A 22,532-nucleotide genomic window follows, 5' to 3' on the forward strand; every position below is an offset into this window, starting at 1 on the left:
GCTCTGCTTGTTTAATTGGGGTGCATTAGCGCTGAATTGGAGCCCGAGGCTTCTTCGAGGAGTGGATCTGGGTCCATTTATCTGGATTGCATCCACCTGAGCAAAGCGCCGTGATTATAGCTTTTAAATGACTTCCTAGAGCTAATGGATCACAGAAAATAGTGTGGGACTAAAAGTAAATATAAAATGAGGGAGTTGGCTGGCTTGAAAGCTGGGCTGCCAAATGGGAATACCAGCAATAATTACATTTGAAATGCCACCCATGTCTTAGGACATTTTCCCAGCTTATGCCTCCAAGTTTCAGGCTGGATGTTACAGAGTCGATGCTGCACACCACTCAGAGCTTTCAACATGCTCCAAGTAGCTAAGGCTAGTTGTCCCCTCCATCAGAAAGCAAACATAAGAGCTGGAGAAGCATCTTTTAAAAAGTGAGCCAACTCAGTGGAGTTGATTTGACTTTTAAGGCGCTAGGTAGTGAGCATTTTGGAGGATAGGATACTGTTTGAAGAAATGGAGATCAAATGTGAAGACAGTCATGGTTCTTGCCTACAGATCACTTAAAATTGTGTGGCCTTAGATGAGGGGGTTTGGGTGGTGAGTATGCGTGCGGAGGGCTTCTGGCAGGAGAGCTCCAGGGGTGTCTTTCCATCACAGGATGTATCCGAGTGTGAGCTTAACTCTCTGGGTCCCTGGTGTGCACATAGGTCTCCCAGGTCACCCATGGGGAGATGTCTGATTGGCAGGTGTAAATGTCGATTGAGTCATGTTTCTAGATGACTCGGGTCACTCACTGGCCCTGGCCCTGATGACCCCCCGGGTGTGTGCCCCTATTCCTGTCTGCTCCATGCTTAGAGGCCCTGGTGGGGTGTGCTGACCCATTTATGCCAGTGCACACTCTGGACTGGCTCCTGCGGGAGAACACAAGAGTGGCCATGGAACTGGCCTCCACCATGCTCCATCTTCCCACCCTGGTGTTCTCAGGCCCTTTTAAAGGTGGTCGTTGCTGAGAGTATTTGGCTGCTTCTCCTGCCCCATGCTTTTCTAGGTTCCCAGAAGCTGTGGTTCTTTGGGACGTGGAGTGGCATAAGCTATACAGAAACTTCCCTCTGCTCCCCCATGGATACTCGGTTCCCTCAATCGAGGCTGGTGCAGGGGAAGCTTGGAGCGGTGTCTACTCACTATCCAGCCCAGTATCCACTATCCTCTCTTGAGCTCCTGATGTCCCACCCCACTGTTGGCCTGACATTTCCCCACATTGTCCCACAGGCCCCTCAACTCAACATGGCCCAAATGGAACTCACCATCAAGACTGCTCCTTCTTTCACATCCCAGCCTCAGCCGACAACCCCTCCACCCAAGCCCCCTGCTTCCCAAATCGCACACCTGGCACTACCTCACCATCTTGCCCATCCCCAGCCAATCAGTCCTGGCTCAGGTCATTTCTACCACTGTGTCTCTTAGGGTGCCAGTTTCCCACCACTCCTACCACCTCTGCTGTAGTTCAGGAAGCCATTAACACCCCCGGATGACCACTATGCCTCCGATCATGTCCCCACCAATCCTCCCCCACTCAGTAGCTGGAGGAATCTTATGGGGGCTCCCACTGCCTTCGGGCTGGAGCCAGGCAGCGCCCTCCCTGACTTGCCCTGTTATGTCTCCAGCCTCATCCTTCCCCACTCACACACCCGTTCTGGCGACCCTGCGCCACCTCAGTTCCTTAAACATGCCTACCATCACCTTGGGGCTACAACACCACAGCTAGAATCTTGCCCCCGCCCCTTTCCAAGCCTCTTCAGATCGGTGGGGCTGTGCAGAGGGCTGGCTTGCAGCATCTGCTCAAGACACGTGGTCACTGATGGAATGATGACTGCTTTGCCCTATCATGGTAGTGCAACCCTGAATAGGGAGCAGGAATAGGACACCTCTGGCAACTGGGCACAGGCCTGCTCTCAGGGAGGGAGGGGTGGAGGGCTTTGGGTCTTAGCTGGCACGTGGCTTTCCTGCATGTCACTATCCTGACCACTCCTGGCTGGGTTCAGTCTCCTGTGTATTCTGAGAGCCCTGGACACCCCCTCAGAACATCGATCATCTCTGCTTCCTCTACTTGTCCACATGTCCCTCCCACCATCGACATGAGCCAATGGGGGTCCTGGCATACAACTAGCACTCAACAAACATGTGCCAGATAAACAAAGGAACGAACACATGGCTTTGTCCAGAGTTGCTTCTACTGAGACATGCATGGCCTCTAAGTTTCCTTTGACCCTGAGTCCAGGCTGCCATAGGACAGCCCCTTGGTAAACTGAACAAGAATACTCCATGCTCACAGGCTTTCCCTTTTGCTTCCTCTGGAACTTTCCTCCAGTGAAATCCAACCCCTTTGCCTAGGTGAGAGCAGAAGAGAAACCATGACAAATAAATCCAAGTGCGAGGTGCTCTAGCTGAGAGCTCTGCCCCTGGCTAGGACCAGGCTTGATGACCTGGGGTCTGTTCTCCTCTTCAGAGATGGGGAAGGGAGCTCCACTCAGTGTGAAAAAGTATGGGGATTGGAGTCACTGTGGTTTGAGAATCCTCCCAGTTCTCTCTTTTGCTCTTATTTCCCTGCATGAGTGCTCACAGGATAGGCCGGAGGGCGTGGGGTGCTGTTTCCCCCCACACTCGTGTTCCAGGCATGGGGAGTCTCAGAGCAGAGCAGCACCCACTTGCTTGCTTGCTGGAAGCCCAGGGCTTCTCTCCCTGGGCCTCATTTCCTCATCTGTCAAATGGGGCTGATAACCTCTGTCCTGTAATTGCTATAGGAGTCAAGGCCCAGAATGGCACCTTGCCTGGCCTGGCTCCAGGGGAGGAGCACCCCGGATGGCAGAGAAATACTCTTTGAATTTTAGTGGTCAGATTTTCATCCCTCTGAGGCATGGGGTGAGTGTGGGGTGTGTGGAAGGTTCTGGGGGTCAATCTCTCTCCAGAGGAAACCTCCAGGGGTTTGATCCCAGGGAGTCCACAGGATCCAGGGTAGATGTCCCCTCCTGGCAGAACTGTGTGTGTGGGGTGCTCATAAGGTGACTGTAATGGAAACATAAATTGTCCTGCTTCAAGGCAGCCACTTCAAAATGTTGTAATAACCATTATAAACCCATTCTCTGCACACCCACTAATAAATACCTTAGTCCCACGTCACATTTCCTGGTATCTCTAAAGCCACCAGGAGAAGGCAGGAAGGCCATAAAAGAAACACAAAAACACAGTTGCAGATGAGCCTAAAACCCATTTCTTTGAAGCTTAATTGATGGGAAAACTTCTGGCCCTAGAGAACTTAAAGGCCTATCGTACAGATATTTGATTAAGTGTCCTCATATCACAGACCAAGCTAAACTGGAAATCATTATGCAATAATTGGAAATACACTAATAAAATGAGGATGTGGGTTTGCTCAGGACATAAAAAGGAATAAAATAATTCACTCAGATAACTCAACAAAAATGAGCAGGCTGCCCCCGAGACAGCTAGAAGAGAGCCTCCTGAGACAGTGCCTGGCCCTCTATTGTCAAAAGCTTTTAGGGTAAGTGGATGCATAGCTAGGCTTCAAAACCACCCCAAGGCCCAGGTGCGGGGTGCCTGAGGGCGCTCCAAAGTCACTGCCCACAGCAGGGGCCGCCAGCCCACTCTCATTCGCATCACACAGCAGGGAGAGACCAGGCTCTAAAGACAGTGTTCCTTAGACGACTTGTGCAGACATGACCTCCCTTCGAAACTAAGAGCTCAGGAGAGAGTTCACATTAACTTTACTAGTTAACGTGAATATGTTTGAGTTCCTGCTCACATTTTTTTTTTTTTTTTTTTACTTAGGGGAAAGTAAAAAAAAAAAACGTGTGCAGGAATTCAAACATAAAAAATATGTGCAGGAATTCAAACACATGCACATTAACTAGTTAAGGTCTCAGACAAGGTCAAGGTGACTCCCTAACCATGAGGTGGCTTCCCACAGGACGTGAGTTGGGCTCAGCGGCTGGCTCTCATACCCCAGAACACGGCTTCTCCTGGCATTTCCCTTGCACGTGGTCCTAGGAATTCCCACCAAGCCCCTGTGTGAGTGCATGTGAAGGAAGCAGCAGAGGATGAGGGACAGGCCGGTGGAGACCTCTCAGACAGGAACCCTTCCCCCTCTCTGTCTGGTGCTCTTTTGCCAAGGGAGCACAGCCACCTACCAACACCTCTGTTCTAACTCCAGGGCCTGTCACCTCTCTGTGCCATTCTCTCCAGCCCCCGCTCTCTGCTTCTCCATATCCCATATGTCCTGCCAGGCCCACCTTGAAGAATTCTTCCTTTAGGAAACCCTAGGTGTCAACCTTGAATGTGCCACTTATAAGCTATGTGACCTCTGGTAAGTCACTTACCCTCTCTGAACCTTAATTCTGTCATCCATGATGCAAGAACACTAACAGTATCTTATTGATGTAGCTGTGGCCCTCCAATGTATGACAGTCAACCCCCACCTCTCCAGCCTATAAGAGAGCTAGTAGCTTTGCCACCAGGCCTAGTACCTGCTCCAGCACTGTCTCCCAGGCACTCAGGGCTTCCTGTGTGATTTCTCTGAGGCTAGAGCCATCTCCTCACTGGCTCTGGCAACTCGCACAGACCCCACACAGGGTGGGGTCCACAGAGGCCCCAGGAATGGACAGGGAATCAGGCAGACGAGTGGCAGGAAAGGGAGCTGGAAGGAGAGCCTTCCTGTTGACAGGAGGGGGCACTGAAGGTCTGTGGTGAGGTCGCTTGAAGTTCAGGGAATGGCAGCATTGGCAGGAGGGAAACAGGCGCTGGACCCCCATGTGGCTGCAGAGAGAGGCGGCAGAGGTAGGAGGAGAAGCTGTGGGGTCAGGCTGGTCAACACCATGGAGGGGCTTAGAGGGCACCAGGGGCAGGTTGCAGAGAAGGGGCAGGGGAAATTTTAGCTTGGAGTCAAAGAAAACAAAACTGTGCCTCTGCCAAAGCAAGGAAGTGGAAAAATCCTGTGTCAATTATCTCTGAACAAGCAGCACCATTCATCTTCTACTTACAGCACTGCAGTGAGGAGGCAAGCTGTCAACCTGCTCATCCACAGCGCTTTTACCCCAACACCTGATGAAGGAGGAACATTTGGAGTCGGCCTCTGCCTGTCTGCTCTGGCCAGGGCTGTGTGTCCCATGAGTCTTTCTGGAGGGCCTACTATGGACGTCCAGCCTGAATCAGATGCTGCAGGTGAGCTGAGCAGAGACACCCCAGACACAGGGCAAATGTCAGTTAAAAGCAAATTAACATTGTAACCCTAAACATTCCCCTTTCATGGGGACTATGAGAAAACTTGGGAAAAAGAAAAAAAGAATGACCAGTGATTCTCAGACCCCTAACAAGGCCACATCGATTTGTGCATACCCCCTTGGTCGTTTGCCTTCACGCTGTGTGTGTTTGCACATGGCAGCCATAGAACCCATGGTACCCAGAGTATGCCTTTCCAATAATCTCCCAGAATACCCTGGTTTCTGATTGCTCACGGATCCTTATACCATAAGGGGAGCTGCTTCTCACCATCTCTAGAAAACCCACCTGCCTGTGATTGTCCTAATGACTGTGGGAGTTGAGGCCTTTCCTTCTTCCTAGAAGCAGGCCAGGGACCACCCCTGCCGGCCCATCGAGATGAAGGATGCTCTTGTCGCACGGGTGATTATTGTGCATCATCACAAGGGCTCAGGCCACTTGTCCTGGAAAACTTTTTTATTTCAGTTAGCAAGAGGTAAAGCAGGGTGCGGATTCCCTTAGCAACTCTGGAAGAAGAGAGAAAGTTCTGAGTCCTCTGTGAGGAGGACAGAGGGAGGGTTGACGCTAGCTCTGATGTGAAATGTCTCCTTAGGGCCACTAGCGGTGCCAACAGAAAGCAGACATACCTTGGCTGGGCTGGACACTCAGCACGGGTGTGGAGACAGCCTGCAGCCAGCATCTGGGCTCCCTGGGAGGCTGGCCCACGGCCACCTCTCTGTTCCTGGGAACACCTGAGCAACTTGGCAGCTTCATACAGAACGTGGAATACAGAGGACTTTTCAAAACACTGCGGCATCCTTCTGAACCCTGGGGCTTGAGAATCTTAGGTCTTCCAAAACCACACATATCAGAAATACACGTTTTGGTCAAACTGCTTAGCGCAGTTGAAAGAAGACTCTGACCTTATAATTGAAAAAAAGTTTTTTATAGCCGGGGGCTGTGGTTTGGTGATGTTTGGTTGTATTCAAGGCAGTAAGAGACATTTTATCAAGGGTGCAGTTCCCATCTACTGGGTTTCTGTTTACTCTGCAAGTCCTAATTCTGTATTGTCATTCTGTGAGCAACACCACTTGAATTCAATTGCTAGATTTTGAATTTCCTTAAGCAAGTTCTATTTAGTTGAGGCCAGAATCTCAGTGGGTGGTAATAAATATCAAAGCACAGGATGGTCGAGGGAAACAAAGTAAAAATCCCAAATCAAATACGATTATTGATCAACGCTGAACTGCTTTAATCATTTCTATGCTAATTCCAGATATATACACACATATTGGCATTTTCATTACATAAATACATTGATATTTTCAACTGAGAAAATATATTGAGCAATTTAAAATTGCAATCTTTGAAGAATGGCAAATAAATAAAAATATAGTAAAAGGCACAGAACAGAAAAGGCAGTGAATTCTTATAGGCCTGAGACAGCCTGTGAAACACCTTCAGATATTTAATATGGCACCACTTTCTTGAAAATTTTTAAAAGCAAAATATGCATACCATAAAAAACAAAAACTGCAAATAATACAATTGGACAAATTAAACACCTTTCTTGCCCCTTCACTATGGAAAAAATCAATTCCCTGATCCTTCCCTGTTACTTATACAGTCTAAAACATTAATTTTTACCTCATTACATTCTGTAACTATAAGTAATAAGTGTAAGTTTCTATTCATTGACTCTAAAAGTGAAAATGAATAAAGAACATTATCAACATTCTGATGATGTAACCCTCATCCATGGCAGAAAGATACAGTGAACCTCACGGCAGGGGAGATGTCAGCCCAGGTGACTCACCTGTGCTGTTTGAAGGAGATTATTTTAAGCTTCATAGTTAAATTGTTCTCTTTCTTCATCTTCCTTTAATTGCTCAAAATCGTGACATATTTTAGTTTGCTTAATATTTTATGATGTCTTTCTGGTTTAGCAATTTGCCTTCTCCAGAATTTTTAACTGCCTTAAAAAATTTATTGAGGGATAGCACATACGTATTCTTCATCATATCTCTGAGGTCTTCCAGTTTCTTCATCTTATTTTTGTTCAATGGAATTAACTTTCTTCTTGAAGACTTGCTTTTCAGAACCTTCTGACTTTCTGTTCTAACTTGAATGGATTCTCTCCCAGGTTTCTTACACAGTTGTCCCACAAGTCCTGCCGGGGTTTTGTTTCACTGGATACCTGGCTTAGCTCTTCTGTTTCTTGGACCAGCTCTTCTTCTTTCTAGGTTCCTTTTCTGTCTTGCTGGATTACACTCCTCACCCTCCATGCCCCCACTTTTTTTTTTTTTTTTTTGAGACGGAGTCTCGCTCTGTCTCCCAGGCTGGAGTGCAGTGGAACGATCTCCACTCACTGCAAGCTCCGCCTCCCGGGTTCACGCCATTCTCCTGCCTCAGCCTCCCAAGTAGCTGGTACTACAGGGCCCCCACTTTTTAAATCAGAAAGATATACAAGAAATCTCATTTCTTGTATACTGAAAATGTTTTTATTTGGTATAGAAGTCTAGGTACAAAATTGTTTGCCCTTAGAAATGTGAAGGCAAGTGTCTGTTCATATCCTTTGCCCACCTTTAGATGGGGTTGTTTTTCTATTATAAATTTGTTTAAGTTCCTTGTAGATTCTGGATATTAGCCCTTTGTCAGATGGGTAGATTGCAAAAATTTTCTCCTATTCCGTAGGTTGCCTGTTCACTCTGATGATAGTTTCTTTTGCTGTGCAGAAGCTCTTTAGTTTAATTAGATCCCATTTGTCTATTTTGGCTTTTGTTGTAATTGCTTTTGGTGTTTTAGTCATGAAGTCTTTGCCCATGCCTACATCGTGAATGGTATTGCCTAGGTTTTCTTCTAGGGTTTTTACGGTTTTAGGTTTTACATTTAAGTCTTTAGTCCATCTTGAATTAATTTTTGTACAAGGTGTAAGGAAGGAGTCCGGCCAACAAACATATGAAAAAAAGCTCATCATCACTGGCCATCACAGAAATGCAAATCAAAACCACAATGAGATACCATCTTACACCAGTTAGAATGGCGATCATTAAAAAGTCAGGAAACAGATGCTGGAAAGGATGTGAAGAAATAGGAACGTTTTTACACTGTTGGTGGGAGTATAAATTAGTTCAGCCATTGTGAAAGACAGTGTGGCGATTCCTCAAGGATCTGGAACCAGAAATACCATTTGACCCAGCAATCCCATTACTGGGTATATACCCAAAGGACTATAAATCCTATTCTACTATAAAGACACATGCACATGTATGTTTATTGCGCCACTATTCACGATAACAAAGACTTGGAACCAATCCAAATGCCCATCAACGGTAGACTGGATAAAGGAAATGTGGCACATACACAACATGAAATACTATGCAGCCATTAAAAAGAATGAGTTCATGTCCTTTGCAGGGACATGAATGAAGCCGGAAACCATCATTCTCAGCAAACTAACACAGGAGCAGAAAACCAAACACCACATGTTCTTACTCATAAGTGGGAGTTGAACAATGGGAACACATGGATAGAGGGAGGGGAATATCACACACTGCGGCCTGTCAGGGGGTTGGGGGCAAGGGGAGGGAGAGCATTAGAACAAATACCTAATGCACGCCGGGCTTAAAACCTAGATGATGGGTTGATGGGTGCAGCAAACCACCATGGCACATGTACACGTATGTAACAAACCTGCACGTTCTGCACACGTATCCCAGAACTTAAAGTATAATAAATAAATAAAAAATAAAAATAAAAGAACTGTGAAGGCAATTACCTCACTGCCTTCCAGTGTTGCTAATGCCAATCTGCCAACAATGATTCCTGATCCTTTGTTGATAACTTGTCTTTTACCTCTGGAAGCTTTGAGAATCTTCTCTTTATCCTAAATGTTCTGAAATATCAAGAGGATACGCAACTATACAACTGTGGGTCTTTTTTCATTCCCCCCTGCTTCTGTCTCAGTGGGTCATTCTTTTTGAAGGTCTATATCTTAGCTCAGCTCTGGGGAGTTTTCTTCTGTTATTCCTTTGGTAATTTCCTGCTCTTAAGTTTCTTTGTTCTCTCTTTCTGGGTTGATATTAGTTAGATATTGGTATTGCTAGTCATCTGTGTTTCTCAGTTTCTCTCTCGCCTTTTCCATTTCTTTGACTTTTAATCTAAGTTGTGGGATACTTCCTTGACTTATTCTTCGGCTCCTTCTATGGAAGGTTTAATGTTGGTGACTGCATTTTTAATTTCCAAGAAATACTTCTTGGGCTATTTTCCTTTCTCATAACAACCTGTTCTTATTTTATGGAAATGTTTTATCAAGTCCCTCTAAAGGTTTTTTTTTATTAGATTTAAAAATTTAAAAATTTTTCCTTTGTTCCCTATCCCCCACAGCCAGTTGCTCTTTTCCTTCCTGTTGGTTCTTCCCTTTTGTGCTCTTGGCTTTCTCAAAATGTCTCACGATCCCCGTTTGTCTGCTGCATTGTGCATGATGGGTTGATCAGTGCAGGCAGTAGACACCGGTGTGCATTGCCTGTGGCTGTGTAGGTCTCTGTCTCTTCCCCTGGGAGGGCTGCGTGTGAACTCCCTCTGTCGGGAGGTGTGTCACACAGCAGGCTCAGTTTAGTATGCTCCCTGGGCAGCGTACAGGTGACCCCACCCAATCCTCTTGACTTCTAATCTTTTTTATTTTTACTTTTTTGATACAGAGTCTCTGTTGCCCAGGCTGGAGTGCAGTGGTGTGATCTCAGCTCACTGCAACCTCTGCCTCCTGGGTTCAAGTGATTCTCCTGCCTCAGCCTCCTGAGTAGCTGGGACAACAGGCGTGTGCCACCATGCCTGGTTAATTTTTGTATTTTTAGTATAGATAGGGTTATAGATGGGGTTTCACCATGTTGGCCAGGCTGGTCTCGAATTTCTGACCTCAAGTGATCCACCCACCTTGGATTTCCAAAGTGCTGCGATTATAGGCATGAGCCACTGAGCTCAGCCTTGACTTTCAATCCCTTGAGGTCAGATGAACACCACGTATTTTCCTTTTCTTAGTCCTCAAGAGGACCTTGAATAAGACAATGATTAATAAAAACAAAAACAAACAAAACCTCCCTTACTATTCATTAATGGCCCACTCTGAGCCAGGTATGTTATAGCTGCATTATTTCTATTTATTTAATTCCATAAATAGACCTAGTTTCCACTTTAGAGATGAGGAAACAGACCCAAAAAGTGTAAGACACCTGCATCATAGCCAGGAAGAACCTGAGAGACTAGCATATCCAGCCCCTCACTCAAAAGACAAGGAAACTGAGGCCCAGTTTTGTCCAAAGCCATAGTTTGGTGAGGATAGTATTTCAGAATGATGGCCAGTGGTTTTTCATTTTCAGTGAATTGTTTTTTTCTCCTAAGTTCTTCCACCATTAAAATAAGACATGAGGCTGAATGTTATGGTCTCAGAGAAAAGTATGGTGCACAGAGCATAAAGGTATCAAACTCTTGGCTCTTGAAAATCATACCAGAGACCATTTTCTGAAAATGAAGGCTTTTGATTTGCAGAAAACAGGCTTTTGAAAGGTAATTTATGTCTGAAGCTGCAAAATCTTAGCTTTTCATAGCAAAGAATAAAGCTATGGAGTCCATAAAGTTTAGAGTCTAAGCAGAGGCACTGGGGAGAATGTGTAGGAATTTCAGAGCTAGTTTTCCCTCCCAATGAGAGATCAAGTCACTTGTCTGGGAGGGAGAGGGGAAAGGAATTTGGAGATGAGAACAGTAGAGACAGCCACTAGAAGGGGAGTCTACATCCCATTCTCCTGGGAGGAGCAGATCATAACCCCATAGGAGTTGGTGGGGGTCCCAGGATGCCATGGGAAAGGGGCTGCAAGCCTGTGAGAGCCCCCAAGTCTGGCCAGGTGCAGGAGCTGAGGGGCAGAAAGGGCAGGAGTGCTCACGGAGGTGACTGGGCGGGAGTGGGCCACTCTCAGCTGTGTGTCCTCCACTTCGCAACCTGTGCCTCTCTAGTCCAGCTGCTCAGAACTCATAGCCGGCTACCTCTGCTTCCTTGTGGAGGGACTGTTGGCTACTTACCTGTGCCTCAGTTTCCTCATCTGAAAAATGGGGATACTAATAGAACTTGCCACACTGGGTAGCTGTGAGGATTAAGTGAGATGGTGTACGGAAAGTCCCCAGCATGGAGCCTGGAACAGAGAAACTGCCTGGAAAATGCAGCTCTTATAAGACCAGGTTTAAAATCTACCCGCCTGAACCAGCAGAACTAGGGTACTCCTGCATGGAGGCCAATTAAAACAGCTAAGTCATCACCATCTTTTCAATAACTGCCACTTAGAGTCCTGACACCAGGGCTTGTGTGGTTTCTAATCGTATTCAGTGAGATCTCAGAATAGTTCTCTCAAGTACACAGACCCCGTGTCCTCGTGAAAATAAATAAAACACATCTTGTGACAACTTCAGTCCTCTTTGCAGAGGGAAGGCTGGGATATGGACCCCTGCCTATGTGTGAGACCCACAAACCCAGAGATGAGCAGTGGGTAGTCCTGGGGGAAGAACACCAAACACTCTTTTAATTGCTAAAAGATGGAGTGCAAGGGTGCTCCCCTGTTGAAAGCCTCTCTCTCTGTGTGTGTGTGTGTGTGTGTGTGTGTGTGTGTGTGTGTGTTTCTCCATGTGTCCTCTTCCCTGTAGCCCCATCTCTCTGAGGAGCTTCCAGCGGTGCAGAAGTCATTGACCCACAAGGCACAACCTCACTGCACCAAAGAAGCTAAGAGTGCAGCCAGCACAGCAGAATACTTCCAAATGTCATGCTGCCATGTGACTGTAAAGGATCCATAGGATGGACTTTATGTTTGTCATGCTGCCATGCGACTGTAAAGGACCCATAGGATGGACTTTGTTTGTCATGCTGCCATGCGACTGTAAAGGACCCATAGGATGGACTTTGTTTGTCATGCTGCCATGTGACTGTAAAGGACCCATAGGATGGACTTTATGTTTGTCATGCTGCCATGCGACTGTAAAGGACCCATAGGATGGACTTTATGTTTGTCATGCTGCCATGCGACTGTAAAGGACCCAAAGGATGGACTTTGTCATGCTGCCATGTGACTGTAAAGGACCCATAGGATGGACTTTATGTTTGTCATGCTGCCATGCGACTGTAAAGGACCCATAGGATGGACTTTGTTTGTCAGGCTGCCATGTGACTGTAAAGGTCCCATAGGATGGACTTTATGTTTGTCATGCTGCCATGCGACTGTAAAGGACCCATAGGATGGACTTTGTTTGTCAGGCTGCCATGCGACTGTAAAGGACCCATAGGATGGACTTTATGTTTGTCATGCTGCCATGCGACTGTAAAGGACCCATAGGATGGACTTTGTTTGTCATGCTGCCATGCGACTGTAAAGGACCCATAGGATGGACTTTATGTTTGTCATGCTGCCATGCGACTGTAAAGGACCCATAGGATGGACTTTATGTTTGTCAGGCTGCCATGTGACTGTAAAGGACCCATAGGATGGACTTTGTTTGTCATGCTGCTATGTGACTGTAAAAGACCCATGGGATGGACTATATGTTCTTTCTGTTCTTGGAGATAGTGTCATACACTTACCAAGAGTGATGGTTATTAGAGGCACTGAGACAAACCCCTTCTGGGGACCAGCACTGCTGTGCCCGCTGGGGCCCCAGTCTGCCCCTCTGTGTCCAGCCCCATGAGAACCCGCTGTTGCACGAAGGGCCCACACAGCATGGGCAGATCTTCCCTCCAGCCTCAGGCTCTCAGGGTTGACTACCTCCCCTGGTTCTTCACTCCCTCTCTTCCTTCTTAAGGTTTCTCTCAAGGTTTAGGTTCCTGTTTTCTTTCCTACAATCAAAAGCTCTTTGGTATGAGTGAAGATTAAATTTTCTGTAACAGGTACGATCCACATAATGGATTAAACAAATGATAAGTTTTGCTGTCTTTATGTAAAAGAATACAGAGGCGGGTGATCCAGAGCTGGCATAGTGTCCTCCATTAACTTGTCAGAGACCCAGGGTCATCTCAGTTCATCATTCTGCCATCCCCTGGGTGTGGCCCTGGGCTCCATGGTCCAGGATGAAGCTAGCCAAAATATTCTCCTTCCAGGCAGTGACAGGGAGGAAAGGAAGAAGGAGGACATCCCCTCTCTTCCTTAAGGTGGCTTTCTGGAAATTTCACATAACACTTCTGCTCCATCTGATTGAAAAGAACATGGTAGGAAGGCTAACTTAGCTATAAGAAAGGCTGGGAAAGGTAGTTTCTTATCTGAATGGCAATGTGTCCAGGTAACTTCAAGATTTTGTTACTAAAGGAGGAGGTGGGAAGATGTTTAGTGGAAGGCAACTAGTAATATCTGCATATGTAAATTTTTTTATTTTGGCCAGCAGAGGGAAAGCGGCACAGATGTCTCCACTGCCCCTTTGCTGCATTTCCAGTCCCTATACCTGAGCCCTTCTCGTAGCTTCTAATATTATTCCATTGTGTTCTGGCATCTGTTGTGTTTTTTTTCTGTCTATATAATTGTCCCTTTGTAGGTAATGTCTTTTATCTCTGGTTGCTTTTAAGTTTTTCTCATTATGTTTGACATTCTACAATTTTACCATTAAGTCTTGAATCACTTTTATAATTTTGCCTGGAACTTATTATACTTTCTCAATCTGAAGATGAAAGTATTTTTCAATTCTGGAAAATTCCCAGCCATTATCTCTTCAAACATTACTTTTTCATTCTTGCTATTTTCACCTTCTATAACTCCTATTAGATGTATATGGGTTCTTGTCATTGTCACCCATATCTTAGCTGCTGTTTTATGTTTTCCTTTTCTTTTTCTCTCTATGCTATATTCTAGGCTATTTCTTCAGCTGTCTTCCAAATTTTTAATTCTCTCTTCAGCTGCCTAATCTATATTTTTAATTTTTATTTTTTTTTGAGACGGAGTCTTGCTGTGTCTCCCAGGCTGGAGTGCAGTGGCATAATCTCAGCTCACTGCAACCTTCACCTCCTGGGTTCAAGCAATTCTCCTGCCTCAGCCTCCCTAGTAGCTGGGCCTACAGGCATGCACTACCTTGCCCAGCTAGTTTTTTTATTTTTAGTAGAGATGGGTTTTTGCCATGTTGGTCAGGCTGGTCTCAAACTCCTGATCTCAGGTGATCCACCCACCTTGGACTCCCAAAGTGCTGAGATTACAGGTGTAAGCCACTGCACCTGGCCTTATATTTTGAATTTTTAATTAAATAGCAATTAAATTTTTCCTATAAGTCTAGTATGGCTCTTTTTTTTATTTTTGAAGAGTATTTAGATCTGTCACAATTTCTTATTGCTTTAAATATTTTATTTTGCTTTTTTTTGTTGTTCTCAACTTTTTAGAATTGGGGGGTACATATGCAGGGATGTTACAAAGGTATACTGTGTGATGCTGGGGTTTAAAATATGACCAAATCCGTCACCTTGGAAGTGAGCATAGTACCCAACAGGTAGTTTTTCACCCTTGCTCAGTGCCACCCCTCCCCATTAGTCCCCACGTCTTTTGTTCTCACACACATATATATATACACACATATATATATACACACATATATATATACACACATATATATACACACACATATATATATACACACATATATATACACACATATATATATACACATATATATACACACACATATATATACACATATATATATATACACACACATATATATACACATATATATATATGGTTTTCTTTGAGACAAGTTCTCGCTTTGTCACCCAGACTAGAGTGTAGTGGTGTGATCTTGGCTCACAGCAACCTCAACCTCCTGGGCTCAAGTGATCTTCCCACCTCAGCCCCCCAAGTAGCTGGTACTACAGGGACATGCCACCATGCATAGCTAATTTTTACAATTTTTGTAGAGACCAGATTTTACCATGTTGCCCAGGCCGGTCTCAAATACTGTTCCCATCTTTATGTCCACATGTACCCAATGTTTAGCTCCTACTTATAAGTGAGAATATGTGATATTTGGTTTTCTATTTCTGCGTTAGTTCACTTAGGATAATGACCTCCAGCTGCATCCATGTTGTTGCAAATGACAGGAACTCCTTCTTTTTTATGGCTGCGTAGTATTCCATGGTGTGTATGTACCACATTTTTAAAAAATCCAATTCACTGTTAATGGGCACCTGGGTTGATTCCATGTTTTTGCTATTGCGAATAGCTTATTGCTTTAAATATTTTAAACACTCTTTAAAAATTATATTTTAATCAAAGATACATAAGCCCATAATTTACAGTCCAATAATTATTTAAGGTTTTTAAATGGAAAACAGCAGATCTGTCCTCTTCTTCCCATTTCTCTCCCCTTCCAGCCCATTTAGTTGGTTCTTTTGGAATTTACCTTAAAATATCCTACTTGTGCATTTGGCATCTATTAACTTCCCAGTATAAAGATGAGAATTTAGCTCTCTTTTACACACTTCCCCTACCCCCTTTACAAATAAACACCCTCCTGCTCCTCCACCCCTTCAATAAAGACAGATAGCATTTTGGTTAGCTCCGTGTTTATGTAATTGGGCCTTACAAATGCCATTCACAGCCAAGCCAGGAAATGCACTGTGAAAAGTTCTTTTCTTGAATGGCTTCTTTTCTCTCCTACCTAATTTTTGGTGATGAACAAATAACCCCTCTGCAGAGGAGGAAGCAAAGGTCTGCATGTGGGCTGGAGCCAGACTGCTCCCCGGTCTGAAGGGGCGTGCGAGGGGTCCCTTCCACACCCCCAAAAGAGGCCCCAGGCGTTCCTCCTGCCCTCCCCTGGAGTTTGGCAGGAGAGTGTGTGGGGCACCATTTCTCAGATGGAAATAACTAGGAGTGAAAATGAGGGAATGTTGTAGAAAATGAGGGACAGAGCTAGGTGAGGTGGGGGTGGGACAACCAGAGTCATACAATTTGGATCAACATTTTCTAGAAGTTTTTCTTAAAAAGTTGCCACCTGACAGTGTTATAGCAGAGGCCATAAGGCCAAAGACAAAAATAACTGTACACAAGCGCACACACACAGTTGCCATCTGAAATAACAACCCCAGAAGCAGGAAGGAGGCATGCTGCCTGCGGGGCTTTGTTCACCACGGGCCTCTGGGTTGCAGTGGCACTTCCCAGAGGCCAGTTCTTTGAGCAGCGGCAGGAGCCCTGAGCGTGCTGGACAGCGTTCTGGACATGCGGGGGCAGTGCTCATCCTGCTTGGCTCTTCCCTGCTGAGGACAGGCAGGCCAGAGTTACTGAGACTGGGGCAGAGGTCAAGGGGTGGGCTTTTGAAAACAGGCCCCTGCAGCTATTCTGCACTGGCCGCAGGGTCAGGAGCTGCATCCGGTCTTAATTCTGCTCCTGCTATGTGGCCTCAGAGAGGTCACTTATCCTCCCAGAACCTTAGTTTGTGCATCTGTAAACTGACCCCTATTATACAGGACTATTATAAGGATGGAGAGATAGCCGCCAAAAAGAAAAAAAAAGCACAGGGAGTTGATGATGCTACGGACCAGGTGGGAAGCCCTTAAGGCCTTACCAGGGTGGAAAGAGACAAGGGGCTAGAATGACACACGCATGAGCCAGCGCCATTTGGCCCTGCGACAGAGGAGCGCACAATCCCTATTGCTGAAATGGGAATGTGATCAGCTGGTTCTAAAAGGGGTTCCATGAATGTTTTCAAAGATGGATGGAGATGACTGGGTAGGCCTGGAAGCTCCTCCAGCTCAGCCCTCGTGGTTGAGTGTGCATTGAAGTTTTGACATGCAGAGGACATCCTGGAGAGCCTTGGTGGCCCAGGCCCAGGTCTCACTGAGGAAGTAAAGTGAATCCACACCCAGCAGTAACTGGCAGTTCCTTTTACTTCCTCAATGAGACCACGTAAGCTCCTTGTGAACAGAGTTTGAACTCATCCCTCCTGTGGCCTCAGAGAGTGGGCAAAGGGCGGGGCACTGGGCAGGGAATCCATGAGACCAATCCATAGATACTGGTATAACTAAGGGCACAGCACCAGTCCTCTAGCTGATGGCCTTGAGACAATCTTATAATTCAAAGGCCACAGCTGTGCCCATGCAGATCTCACGTCACCTACATCACACCTGCAGCCCCGGGAGCACCATCTTTCCACCAGAGAGTGAGACTGATGGCACCCAAGTGATGACAGTAATGTACATGCATGTGTGGGATGAGGAATGTCACTGCCGTGCTGGCCTGGGCCTAGGCCTGCTCTGTGCCTGCTGGCTCCTGTCATGCTGATGGTGGGCTCTGTCTACTGCTAATTGAGTCTAGGAAGCCCTGCTGTCAGCAGCGGTCTCTGGCTGTGGTTGATGCTGAACTCCTAAGGGCAGATTTTATCAGCCCTAAGCAGTTGTTGGTATGTAGTTTGCATGTTAAAAGAGGCGTAGCATCCTGACAGGTGCTACTGGAATTGCAGAATACATATTCACAGGTGCCAGCCACCTGTGCTAGACGTCTGTGCAGCCTGGCTGAGGAAGGCAGTGCTCTAGACACTTGAGTGCTCTCCTCAGCTATTCCCAGACAGCTTCCCAAGTTTTGAAAACAAATAACACTTAGCATGAAGCTAAATTGAATATGACTGAATGTTTCTTTGGGTTCAGAAGACACACTAAGCTCTAGCAGAAACTTAGGACTAGCATTAACAATGTCTAGTTTTGGGCTGGGCATGGTGGCTCACGGCGGTAATCCCAGCACTTTGGGAGGCCAAGGCGGGTGGATCATGAGGTCAAGAGACCGAGACCATCCTGGCCAACATGGTGAAACCCCATCTCTACTAAAAATACAAAAATTAGCTGGGTGTGGTGGCGCATGCCTATAGTCCCAGCTACTCAGGAGGCTGAGGCAGGAGAATTGCTTGAACCTGGGAGGCGGAGGTTGTGGTGAGTCGAGATCGTGCCACTGCACTCCAGCCTGGGCGACAGAGTGAAACTCTGTCTCAAAAACAAACAAACAAACAAAAACAAAAAGAACAAACAACAACACAACAATGCCTAGTTTTGTTTTAAAAGAAAGTAGGAAACAAATCTTCTAGTTATTTAGGTTTTAATGGCCAAGAAGGGGTTTCTAATCCTTTATTTCAGACTCAGAATTCTGTTTTTGTGCTGGTCCGTGCTCCCCTTCACACTCCTGAGAAACTCCTTGAAACCAACACCCATGGCTGTGCCCTGGTCCCATGGGAAGATGGATCGAGAACTGTCTGACTCTTAGTGAGGACCGATGTCCAGGCATCTCAGGAAATCCTCGCATGGCTAGTGTTTTATCTTTTAAGAGGAAGAGGCTCAAGGCCTCTTACAGAGGCTTGGGGGCCTGGGTCCCAGGGGGCCTTCTGGGTCCTGGAGGCCAGTTATAACTGCTGCCCAAACCTCCCCCACAGCCAAGGGCTAAGGGGGCTGTGCTGTAAGAAGTCCTGATCATGAAAACATAGTCTTTTCATGCAGACAGCTATGTACACTACGAAATAATTCTTATTTGCCATAGATTCAATCACAAACACATACTGTGTGCCCACTGTGTGCTAAGCCCTGGGGACACCACTGTCATCACCAATCAGCCCCTTCATTCATGGGCTCATGGCTTGTGGGCGCCAAGACAAATTTGGGCATGCCCAGGTAGTCCACTGATCTCTACCTGGATATGCCACTGAACCTGGATTTAGAGATGAAGTCTGGGAGGGACTCTAGGAGGAGGTACTGGGAGGGGGAATTTGAGAGGAAGAAGTATGTCATGGAGAGTTTTGATGGCCAGGGCCAAGTTTTAGACCCAAGGTCCAGCCACCTCCCCTGGGGAGAGGCCAGGCTGAGAAGGACAGGTAGACGCCCCTGCAGCATGTTTCAGGAAACCTCTCAGCTTTCTTCAGATGGGACTGGTTACCAGAGAGGCCCCAGGAGCCCGTTGATGAGTAAGTATATGGTAGTGACAAGTGAGCAGAAACCACTTTGTAAGTGTCAACTGCAGGGTTGCCACAAGACTAGAAACTTAAAGGGAAAAAAAGCATGAAAGACCCACCTGTGTGGTGTGAAGCATGGCTGCCTCCTGGCCTGCCTCGCAGGGATCCCTCAGGCCCACGCAGTCTTTTTGGCAGGGGACCCCTCACAGCTTCCTGCAGGACTTTTATGGGGACAATGCTGGGCATGCAAACGAGGCCCTAGGCCACATCACACAGCCCCTTCCCTGCCCATCAGGAAGAGCCTGTGCTGGAGGCTGAGCTGGTAAAGGGCCATGCCACCCACTTTTCCATTTCAGGTTGGTTTTACAGTCCAGGGCCAGAGTGGGGCCCAGCACCCAACTAAAGGTTGCAGTAACTCTGGAGTCTGAGAAGTCCATTGGGCACAAGTGTGGAGCTGGGGCGGACTGCAAAGCCCTGGACAGACCCCGGGCAGGGACCAATATAGCCTGCTGGTCAGTGTGGCTAGATCAGATCCCTGGCAAGTGGGACAGGAAGGACAGCATGTTTGAGATTTGGTGTGATTCACCTCAGCTGGCCTTGGAAGAGCAACTCTGATCCTTTGGCAGAGTCTCAGTCCCCCTCCTGTTTGTGCTGTCCCCGTGCCCTGCCCTGCCCCTAGGAGAACTCCCCGTTGGCCTCTCTGTCTCCTCCTCCAGACTGGAAGCACTTCCTTCACTTTCTTCCCTCTCTTCTGCCCCCAAGGCAGAAGCTCCTCTCTCTAGCTGCATCTTCAGCCTGGCTCACAGGAGATGCTGATAGATATTCATACAAACAACAAACTGGCAGTAAGGAAAAAAGGGACAGGGATTGGGAGCCAGGGAGCCAATTTCTAGTTGTGTTTGGCCTATCAATGTCTGTTTACAGTTTAGAAGGGGCTGATTTCAGCTAAGGCTTAAAGCTGACATCATCCCTTGTAAAGCAAAATGGAATTCTTCCCAAGTAACTTAACCGTGAGAACGGCCATTTGCTTCCAAACCTACAGGGCCCTTTCATTGCTTCATTGGCTTCTGCAGGCTCTGCAGACCCAGGTTTCTTGCCTACCTCATTTCTTAAGATTTACTCCTTCTGGCCTCTCTCCCTAGCACCCCCCACACCCCCTAAAATGAGGCCAAAGTAGTTGACTTGGGCTCGGAGACACCCATGCTGAGGTCCCCAAAGGAGAAGTGTGCTAGGGCCACAAAACACCTGGGGCCTTCCAGAGGCCTCTGCCGCCCCCAGCTTCTCAGCCCACTCCTGTTCTAGCTGAGTCTGGGCAGAGGCAGCACAGTCAGTGCTGGTGCCCACTCAGGAGGACCAGTCGGCTTGGGCTGGGCATAGAACTCCAGCCATGCTAGCCAGTCTGTGGTCAGCTCAGCCTGGCAAAGTGTGCAGTGGACCCAGGGCCACCTGCTATCTGCTCAGCTTGTCCTTGTCTGCTGTAGGATGCCACCTGGCCTGACTCATTTCAGCGCAGCATCCTCAAATTTCCTCTGACTGACCCCCATTCACATAGCAGGAACCTTATGATTACATGGAGCCCTCTCGGATAATCCAGGATAAACTCCCCTGGGTCTAGAGCCTTAACTTCACCTGCAAAGTCCCTGTGCCATGTAAGGGGACATACTCATAGTTTCAGGAAATTGGCTATAACTATCTTTGGGGAGGAGGAAGCAGCATCCTGACGAACACACTGGCCAATTCAGCCCGTCAGCTCCCAGCATCAACCTGGGAAGGCTGATTAGAGGAATGACGGCCTTACGTGTTGTTCTCCCAGTGAATCAAGCAGCAGGGGCAGGACTCTGAGAGCAAAGGCAGCCCCCAGCAGGGAGGGCGAGGGGGCCTGGGCTGGCTATGCCAAGTGCTGTCCTCCCCAGGCCCTGAAGCCCGTGCTGCTGATACCTTGTGTTCGCTTGCACGATGGGGCCCATCCCAGCCAGGGTTCTATTTCTTTTTTTTTTTTTTTTTTTTTTGAGGCGGAGTCTCACTCTGTCGCCCAGGCTGGATGGAGTGCAGTGGCGCGATCTCAGTTCACTGCAACCTCTGCCTCCCGGATTCAAGCGATTCTCATGCCTCAGCCTCCTGAGTAGCTGGGATTACAGGCGCCCGCCACCACACCCAGCTAATTTCTGTATTTTTATTAGAGATGGGGTTTCACCAGGTTGGCCAGGCTGGTCTCAAACAAGTGAATCACCCGCCTCAGCCTCCCACTTCTTTTAAGTAAAATGCTATTTCCCGATTGCAAAACAGCACATACTCCCTGAAGACAAACTGGAATATAAAGGAAAGAACTAAAAAGGAAATAAGTCTCCGATGATCCCAACATGCAGAGTGAGCATTCAGGTCTGGTTACCCATGTGGAAATTCTCACACGGTGGGGTCTTTCTGTATACCCTAACTTTTGTGCTCTTAACCTGTTGGCATTTCTTTTGCCATTGGCCGCTCTTCTAGCTAGAGCGTGATGTGTAACAATGCATAGGATTTGGTCCTTCCCTTCTCCTATAAATGACTTAATCTTTGGTGGCCATTCTGTGTGCCTTTCTCACTAATATTGGTAATGCTGCCACCTACATCTTTTTGTATCATTGTGATAGTTTCCTTGGGACAGATTCCTGGCAGTAGAGAAGCTGCGTCAAAAGGCGCATAGTAAACTCCAAGAAGGCAGGGACTGTATCTATCATTTTCCTGGTTTATTCGCAGTGTGAATTCCTGTGGATATGTGAAGACTGACTGACTATGGGAGACTGATGAATAAAGGTGATGAATTTCAAAAATATTCAGCCAAGGAAATGAGGCCAGACACAAAAGAGTACTTACAAGAAGTTTTAGAATAGGCAAACGAACTTATCATATTAGAAATCAGATCAGCAATGGCCCTTGGCAGGGCAGTGATGGGGGGACTGACTAGGAAAGCACCGGGAGGAAAGTTCTGGGGATGACAGCAATGGTCTGTATCTTGATTGGCATAGTAGTTACATGGGTGTGATGCCTTTGTCAAAATTCACTGAATTTAGCCACTTATTGTTGGCAGTAATATTAGTGTCTTGCTTCTTAAAGATTTAGAGTACACTTGAATTAATGAAAGGCCCCACATCTGCCCCACCCTCATTCAGCTTTTAAAAGCATTTCCTTTACTCTTCTTTGGCTTAATTGAAACTCTTCTCTGAGCCCCTTTTCCTACCCGTTCTGCTGCTGGTGATGGCCTCAGTTGTCCCTCACGGGAGCTTTCCCGGGGAGCCAAGGAGGCCAGGGCAGGTGTGGAAAGGCCTCTACCTGACTCCCCGTGCTGCTGAGACTGC

At 46.9% G+C, this 22,532-nt stretch overlaps 1 protein-coding gene across 3 annotated transcripts in view, besides 2 other annotated features; it reads right to left on the bottom strand.

The window, feature by feature from the left end:
* FSTL4 (follistatin like 4) overlaps positions 1 to 22,532 on the bottom strand; it is a 645,613-nt gene that overhangs the window by 140,953 nt on the left and 482,128 nt on the right. The window lies entirely within an intron of this gene.
* Positions 3,660 to 4,159: an enhancer, noted in NCBI's record as "H3K4me1 hESC enhancer chr5:132676759-132677258 (GRCh37/hg19 assembly coordinates)". NCBI's record gives its function as "activates a minimal SCP1, AML or CMV promoter by ChIP-STARR-seq in naive H9 embryonic stem cells {active_cell/tissue: H9 hESC(naive)}" and the evidence as "EXISTENCE:reporter gene assay evidence [ECO:0000049][PMID:30033119]".
* Positions 4,527 to 4,714: a silencer, noted in NCBI's record as "fragment chr5:132677626-132677813 (GRCh37/hg19 assembly coordinates)". NCBI's record gives its function as "represses an EF-1alpha promoter that drives an FKBP-Casp9 reporter gene in an ReSE screen in K562 erythroleukemia cells {active_cell/tissue: K562}" and the evidence as "EXISTENCE:reporter gene assay evidence [ECO:0000049][PMID:32094911]".

Source organism: Homo sapiens, chromosome 5 (genome assembly GCF_000001405.40).
Source record: "Homo sapiens chromosome 5, GRCh38.p14 Primary Assembly".
Lineage (NCBI taxonomy): Eukaryota > Metazoa > Chordata > Mammalia > Primates > Hominidae > Homo > Homo sapiens.